The 8349-nt window shown below is 43.7% G+C and overlaps 1 long non-coding RNA gene across 1 annotated transcript, besides 1 other annotated feature; it reads right to left on the bottom strand.

Annotated features, from left to right (window-relative positions):
• Positions 1-200: 200 nt before the first annotated feature.
• LOC105378088 (uncharacterized) lies at positions 201-8029 on the bottom strand. The gene is made up of 2 exons (XR_001744437.2): positions 7895-8029; positions 201-4847 (listed from the first exon to the last, which is right to left on the bottom strand). It is a non-coding gene; the product is annotated as an uncharacterized LOC105378088 (long non-coding RNA).
• Positions 6118-7317: an enhancer, noted in NCBI's record as "BRD4-independent group 4 enhancer chr6:160694323-160695522 (GRCh37/hg19 assembly coordinates)". NCBI's record gives its function as "activates an origin of replication core promoter dependent on BRD2, P300/CBP, MED14 and CDK7 cofactors, and independent of BRD4, by STARR-seq in HCT116 cells {active_cell/tissue: HCT116}" and the evidence as "EXISTENCE:reporter gene assay evidence [ECO:0000049][PMID:35650434]".
• Positions 8030-8349: the final 320 nt, after the last annotated feature.

Here is an 8349-nt window from a genome sequence, read left to right as displayed (position 1 = left end):
TAGCACAAAGTGAGTCATAAATTTAATGCATGTACATCATAGAGAATATAAATATATACGTGACCAAAACTGAATACTATAAAACTTATAGTAGAAATCATAAGAGAAATCTTTACAATCTTGGGATACAATCTTGCATCCAGAATATACGTAGAACTTTCAAAACTCAACAGTAAAAAATGAACAATAAAAGATGGACAAAAGGTTTGAACACATACTTTATGAAAGAAGATATACGGATGGCAAGTAAACAAAAAGATGTACAAGATTAAATTGTATATTGTAATCATGTGTAATTTAATACATGGCAATTATACCTTAAAAAGTTGTTCATCATCAGAGAAATGCAAATAAAAAGCACAGTGAGAGAATACTACATAGCCACTTGAATGACTAAAATTAAAGAGACCAACCATACCAAGTGTTGGCAAGGATGTGGAGGAATAGGAACTCTCATTCGCTATTGGCAGGAGTGCAAAATGTTATGACCATTTTTAAAAACAGTTTGGCAGTTTCTTTAAAAGCTAAACATGTACCCATCATATGACTCAACCATTTTCACTCCCAAGTATTTACACAAAGAAATGAAAGCAGATGCCCATGCAAAGACTTGTACACTAATGTTTATAGCAGCTTGACTAGTAATAGCTCCAAACTGGAACTAACCCAAATGCCTATCAACAGATGAGTGGATAAATGTGGAATGCTACTGAGCAGTAAAAAGAAATGGATTCTGATGCACACAATGACATCGATGATTCTCAAAATAACCATGCTGAGCAAATGAAGCTAGGGGAAAAGTACGTAATGCATGATTTCATCTACTTACAACTCTAGAAAATGCAAGCGAATCTATAGTGACAGAGAACAAATCAATAGTTGTGTAGAAAAGGGTAGGGGGCAAGAGGAAGGAATTACAAAGGGCATGGGGAAATTGGAGGAGATAATGGGCATATTCATTATATTTCATGTGGTAATGATGCATACACATCAATGTTTACCAAACTTTACACTTAAATGGTATGCAGTTTATTGTACACCAGTTATACCTCAAAAATCCTTGTTGTTGTTTTTTTAAAAAGCCTATGATACTAAGTTTAATAACCTACCTCAATGGTTATAGGGCTTTTGAAGAGTCGGGCAGTGACTGTGTTGAGGGTTGGGTTATCTCTACATTAGAGGCCAGTCATTTCAAAGTAAGCCAGTGTTGACACCACAATACAGAATGTGGGTACTGCTGTGGAGAAGACGCCCTCATGAAGTCACTTAACTTTTCCCGAGTGCCTACGGAGGGCTAGACACTCCTCTGGACAACGAGGTCACAGCAGTGAACAAAAGAGACCCAAATTCCTGCCCTCAGGAAGCTACGTTCTTACGCGGGAGATTGAAAATAAACAGAGTAACTGCCTAAGATATGCTTTCAAGAGCGAAATGTTAGCAAGGAACACTAAAGCCAGGAATGTGTGTCTGTATTACGTGTTGGGGCAAGAGGATGCTGGAACTTCAGATAAAATGCTTAGGAAGGCCAGAATATGGAGGAAGTGAGGGATTGGGTTGTGAAGATACTGGGAACAAAGTGTTCTGGCAGAGGAAACAGCAAGTGCCCACGGAGGTGGAGCAGGGTGTGCTGGACGACAGGAAAGAGGCGGGGGAGGGGTGAGGAACGGGGAAGGGGGAAGGGGAAGCGAGGGCAGGATGCCTGTGCAGGGAGAGGCCAGGAAGGGGCTCTAGATCGTGCAGGGCTTATTCCTGAGTGAGGAGGAGAACCACAGAGGAGGAATGGGGTTCTTAGGCTTCTGGGTGGGAAATAGATTTTAAAAGCTCAAGGGTGATACAAGGAGATCAGAGAAGGGTCTCTTGCATTCACCCAGCTGAGAGGCCATGGTCGCTTGGACCAGGGGGTTGGCAGGGGAGGTAGGAATGGCATCCAGATTTCCATATTTGGTGGAGGTGGAGCTGCCAGACTGCATATGTGTATGAGAGAAATACGAGTTAAGACTGATATGGAAGTTTTTGGCCCAAGCAACTGGAAGATGGAATTGCTCTTAACTGAGAGTTCAGGTGTAACCGCATGCAAGCTTGCTTCAAAACTCCTTTCAAAAAGGGGTGTAAGAGCCACAAATGAAATCCAGAGTTTTCGACTTGCTGTCGAATGCCCTTTCTTCCCTACCACGCTCCACACCACTGCATGAGAAAGGACAGGAGGTAGGGCTTGCCTTCATTGGGTGACAGTTTTACTGGGCAAACCAACCTATCACAAACACCATCCTGGGAGCAGTCCAGAAGATGTAGTCATTCAGAAGAAAGATCAGAACTCTGAGGCCTCCAGGCATCCTGACCAGGCAATATTTCTTTAATTCATCGGCTTGATTTTGTTGCCACCCGGGCCCTCAGTTGGACACTGGGTATTTCTCGGTTTTGCACAAAAATCTGGGCTTAGTTTAAAAAAAAGAAAAAGGCTGTTGACAGAGATATGTCAAGCCTAAGAAAAACCCAGTTCATTTGCTACCGGATTAGCCGTCTGCTTGAAAACAGGTAGCAGCCAAAAAGTTTAGGAAGAAAATGTTTGACAGAAAAAAAAAAAAAAGTAAAATTGAACTATTTCCTGGTAATTCACAGAAAGGAAGGTGAGAGTGTGGTTTTCGCTGAAGCCAAAATGGACTCAGTTTGTGGGGTTAAAAAAAAAAAGAAAAAAGAAAAAACCTGTTTTGAGGAGTGTATTTTGAGAAGTTCTGCCTTAGTTGATTTAATATTCATTCGCACTGGCTTCTGCCACCCCTGTAAATGCGGTAAGCAGAGCTGCTGAGGAAAACGAGCGGCACCATCTGTGGGTCCTGACTTCAGCCGCGGAGAGAGGGAGCTGTGAAGATGCCAGCAGCTGCCTGTCTGGAGGAAGACGCGAGAACATTGCTTCCGAGACAGGGAGCCAGACAGGGACGAGAAGCTGTGGATTCTCGGTTAGGCAAACTGCTGAACAGTGCTCTCGCTGAGGTCAGGGGGAGAAGATGGCAGGGGTGAATCCTTGACGATCACGGAGTAAGGACGAGAATGCAGTTTGCTTCCCACAGGCCCCTCCCTCAACATGCCAAGATTCCTACCTGGGGCATCAAGACTGCAGGTGGGGCCAAGAAAAGACATGGACACTCAAAGTCAAGGTGAATTGGGTGCATGTGTATGTGTGTGCGAACGGGTGGGTGAGTTATGTGCTGGCAAAGGCAGGTGTGTCCACATGCGCGAGCAGACACTGAGACTGCAGCCCACACACCCAGAGGAACAAGCAGGACATCTTAGGTTAGGAATGTGCCTGCAGCTGGCAGTGCCCAGGAGAGGGACTTTTCTAACTGTGTTGTCCAGTGCCTTAGTCGCTAACCACATGTGGCTGCATAAACTTTAAACCAGTTAGAATGACATAAAACTGCAAATGCAGTTTCCCACTTGCACTAGCCCCATTCTAAGTCTCCATAGCCACCTGTGCCCACTCGCCACTGCTCCAGGAGTACAGATTCCAGACATTTCAGCCACTGCAGAACTGTCTCTTGGGTGGTGTCTGCAGGTGCCTGCTGCAGCTCTGCCAGGCAAAGTAGAGTGGCTGCTTGGCTGCCTATGGATTTAGATGATCCTGCCAACATCTGATCAGTTGCTCTCAGCACCTGAGCTTCATCATTAGGATGGATCTGGGGCATGCAGGGAGAATCCCAGACTGTCAGAGAGGTGGCCTGGCCTGGGGTGACCAGTCAGGCCTCTTGTCCTTATGGTCACATTCTCAGAATTGGGGCCAGGGATCCTGCTGGTGAGTGTCCTGAAAACACTTCATTTTACCCAAGGGTTTGCATTTTCTAAATCCTGGTTTACAGTGAACCTTTTATAACAAAATATCTTTCAGGTTTCTACACTACTGACTTAATTATGAGTTTTTGGTTTTGTCTTAATATAAAAGACATGTAAAAATGGGAAGGCTCTGTGGTGTGGAAGAGGGGTGAGGAAATCTGTGGTGTGATTCTGAATGGGTTGCTCGGGCTGTTTGGGATTCAGTTCCTTCAGCTGTAAGATAAAAACAGTAGGATGACAGTTTGGGGAAGCTACAACTGAGTCTGAGCTAACCATAGTTCTGGAAGCTAGTGAGTGACTTGAAATGTTAGCCAGATTCTGAGGAGAAAGTGCTGGGATGAGCTTGGACATGCAAATCAAAGCTGTGGGTGATCTCACAGCCCTATGGAGTTGGAGAGAAATGAGACCCTCCCAACACTGAGCCACTGACCCCAACCCAGTGTCACAGCCACAAATGAAATCCAAAGTTTTTGACTTGCTGTCGAACGCCCTTTCTTCCCCACCACGCTCCACACCACTGCATGAGAAAGGACAGGAGGTAGGGCTTGCCTCCACTGGGCGACAGTTTTACTGGGCAAACCAACTTATCACAAACACCATCCTGGGAGCAGTTCAGAAGATGTAGTAACTCAGAAGAAAGATCAGAACTCTGAGGCCTCCAGGCATCCTGACCAGGCCATATTTCTTTAATTCATCAGCTTGATTTTGTTGCCACCCGGGCCCTCAGCTGGACGCTGGGTATTTCTCGGTTTCGCACAAAGCCAGCAGCAAATTCATCATCTGGCTGCAATGAGGAGACTCACAACATGGAAACACAGTCCTTCTTCCCGGCTGGCAGGCAGCTGCGGGGTTTGCTTTTGCTGGTCGTAGCGTAAGCGGGTGAGGGTGTTGAGCCTCCTGATGGCGTCAGCAGCGTGCCTGAGTTATCCCCAGGAGCTGCAGGTCATTGCAACACAGGGCTAGAAGAAGCACCTGCTGCGGCCGTTGGAAGGATTTGTCCCGTCAGACACTCGGCAGCCCTGAGGGAGAATCAAGTTGTGAATTTCGTCACTGGCATACTGACATAAATTGAGCTTAGCTTGAATGTCACTGATCACTCGCTGGCTCGGGTGGTCTTTCCCAACCACAAGCCGCTGGTCTCAGTGACAACAGCTCTGCAAAGTGTCAGAATCCAACACAGGCCTGCCAAATGACCCTGGGCAACCTGGAGGTGAGGGAGCCTCTTGCCAACCAGAGAGGGCTGCGCCCGCAACGGTACGCTCCCCGAAGAAGAACATTCTGGAGCCTGGTCTCATTCACCCTCTGTTTTCCCTTACACTTGTTTGTCAACATGATGAATGAGAGGCAAATGGCAGGACCACAGTGTTTCAAAAATGTGAATTGATTTTTTTCCCTAGGCCTTTGGGTTCACTGACCAGAAGAAAAAACCTCAAATAAAACCGGGTGTTTTCATGAAGTGAACTTTAACTTTGCATATATTACACCCGATTATCCAATGAACAAAAGCTATGTACGGATTTATTTACTGTTTGGCAAGCATGCATGCAGTCACTCAATCATTAGTACCATGGAAAATGATCAAGTATAAAATAATCCTCTGGGACTGGCTCAAAGGATTTGTTTTTTCACAAGCAGACGGAAAGAGAAACAGACACTTGTTGAAAAAGAGTGTGAGTTTGGAAGGAACATTTTGGTCACTCAGAATCAACTCAATGACTGTCATTGAAATTTCACAAAAATCCTGGTTCTTAAGTGAATTGGAGACAACTCAAACAGGACAAGCTTGCCAAATTTGAGTATTTCAATAGAAGCTACATTATTCTGAGGGTCTGAGCCCAGGGCTCTGATGCAAATGGGATTGAGAGGCTAATATTAGCCAGCAGGTTTTGTTGCAGTTCATTTTTGTGAGAAGAGCCTTATAAAGTCAGCAACCCAGAGGTGCTGGTCCAAATTCTGATTCTCACTGGCTGTCTAAGCCATATCACCCTCCCTTTCTGAGCCTTCATTTCTTAGCTCTAGAATAAAGAATCTGGACCAGGCGTTCTCATCTGGGGACATGCAGCATGTCATGACTATGGGCACCTAGTCAATAAAGACCAGAGACGCTGCTCAACATCCTACAATACACAGAAAAACCCCTCAACAACAAAGAATTATCTGACCCAAAATTTCAATTGTACTGAGGGTAAGAAACCCTGTTTTCACCTAGATTTACCTCATTTTCAACAAGGTAACATCCAGCTTAAACATCTTATGGTCCTACAGATAGTTCAGTATATTTCTTTCATTCCAGATCCTTTATCCTCAATATAAAAAAAAACAATTTTTATTTCATTTTGTTATTTTATTTTATTTTTTGGGACAGGGTCTCACTCTGTCACCCAGGCTGGAGTGCAATGGTGCAGTCAAGAGCTCACTGCAGCCTCGACCTCCTGGGGTCAAGCAATCCTCCCACCTCAGCCTCCCAAATAGTTGGGACTACAGATGTGAGTCACCATGCCCAGCTAATTTTTTTTTATTTTTGTAAAGACAGGGTCTCACTGTGTTGCCCAGGCATGACCTGCCATGCCCAGCCTAATTTTTATACCTTACCAAAAATATGTGGATGGCACATAACATGGATATTTCTTTATCCATGTTAATGTATACAGAAAAACAAAAACAACAGAATAAAGCTTCCTAAGACATTGGGAACAAACTTCTCATAAATATTTACAATGGCAGTTGGCAATGATTCAAAGTCTTCCAGGTTATAACCTATATCCAAGCAGTAAAATTAACCTTTTGGGAAGTGACCTTAATAACTGTTTGCATGATGTTTGCTGAATAAATGATTCATCAGATGATACCTTTGGTGCCGAAAGGAAACACGCAAGTCACGAAAGCCTCATACTATGAGAAGTAGGGAGGCAAGGATGTCCGTGTACGACTGTGGGTTTAGGGCCTACACACAGATTTAAAAAGAAAATAAAGCCAAAATGCTTTCCCCACAAAAATGCCCTTTCTCATTCATTTGTTCCAATAAGATCTTTGCTTAGAAGAACATGCATTTTCTTTGCTGACCTCCCCTTACTTCCCCTTAAGCCTGAGTCAGATGCCCCCCCTGGACTTCCATAAAACCTGCAGTACTTGTACCATCACACATCTTGCATTTTATTATAAATGTTGGTTCATTTGCTGTCTGGTCCTTTGGACTATAAATTTCTTGAGGGAAAAGCCCATGCCTTGTTTATTTCTGTATCCTCAGTGCCTAGCCCCAGTGGGCATACAGTAGGTGCATTACAAATACTCATTGACACTGGTTAACATGTGAGACTGAGCAGACCTGGCTGCTCCTCCCACAGATAAATGCTGAATAGAACCATTGTGGGAAAGAGAGCTCAAAAGCAAGAAAGGTGCTAGAGTCATAGAGTCATAGAGTCATAAAGTCATAGAAGGAAACTGAAATCAGAGAGGTGGCTCTTGAGTTTCAACATGATTTGAGTCCATGGGGTGCAGTGAATCCCTTGGCACTGGAGTTTAGTACTCAAGGAGAAACAGAATTTGTGGCCTCAAGCCTGTATGTGATGAGAAGCTGAAACTGACTTCCCCAAATAAAGCTAAGAGTTGGGGGTAACTCACTCCCAGGAACAGAAAAATAAGGGAATGTGAAAAATATTTTAAGTGGGTCTGTTTTCAAAGTTTGAACATATAAAGGAAGTATTTAATGTGTAATATAAGAATGCAAAATCACATTTAAAAAGAACAAGGAGATTGACTGAAAAAACACCATAAGTACAAATTCAGCCATTAAAATAAAATGCCACAGACAAGTTAGACTGTAAGCCAAACGCAACAGAAGGGAAAACTAGTGAGCCGAAACTACATCTGAGAACACAAAATAGACTTTGACCCAGAGAACTAAAGAGATAGAAAATATAGACAAAAAGTGAAAAGAAATGGAGAAAAGAATGAAAAGCTCCAACTTATTTATGGAAAGATTCCAGTTGAGAGAAAGTTGAGAGAATGGAGCAGAAACAATATTTGAAGGGAAAATAGGTAAAGAATTTTCCATAAGAAGGCTTACCAGACTTCTCTCTTACATTGATGGAGCTGTGTTTCTCTAATTAACCAGGTAGGTTTCATTGCTGACTGCATTACTATGATCTCAGAGACCTAACATCTAGGAGAGTCTAGGGGAGAGCTGCTTCCATGTGATTCTGCTCTGAGCTCTGTACTTTTTCTGATGAGACCGGAAGGCCACACCCCCAAGCATGGTATCATAGGCTATCATTCTTTGGGACTGCTTCCACTATCACAGTGTTAGATCTCTAGATGGAACTCTCCTCCCCATCTAATGCTGGTTTGGTTTCTTTGTATTGAGTAACTAAAGCTTATTGGTCACTTACCAGATGACTAGCTTGGGAGAGACTGAATATACACATGGACAATGGCCAGACCACGTAAAAAGTTAGAACTCTACAATCAACCCCAACTGGAGAGAGTGAACTAAGTGCCCTAACCAACTACAGAGGATGGATA

The sequence above is a fragment of the Homo sapiens genome, chromosome 6, assembly GCF_000001405.40.
Source record: "Homo sapiens chromosome 6, GRCh38.p14 Primary Assembly".
In the NCBI taxonomy this organism is placed as follows: domain Eukaryota; kingdom Metazoa; phylum Chordata; class Mammalia; order Primates; family Hominidae; genus Homo; species Homo sapiens.
The sequence above is the reverse complement of the archived record's forward strand: the minus strand, read 5'-3'. Positions and strand labels throughout refer to the sequence as shown.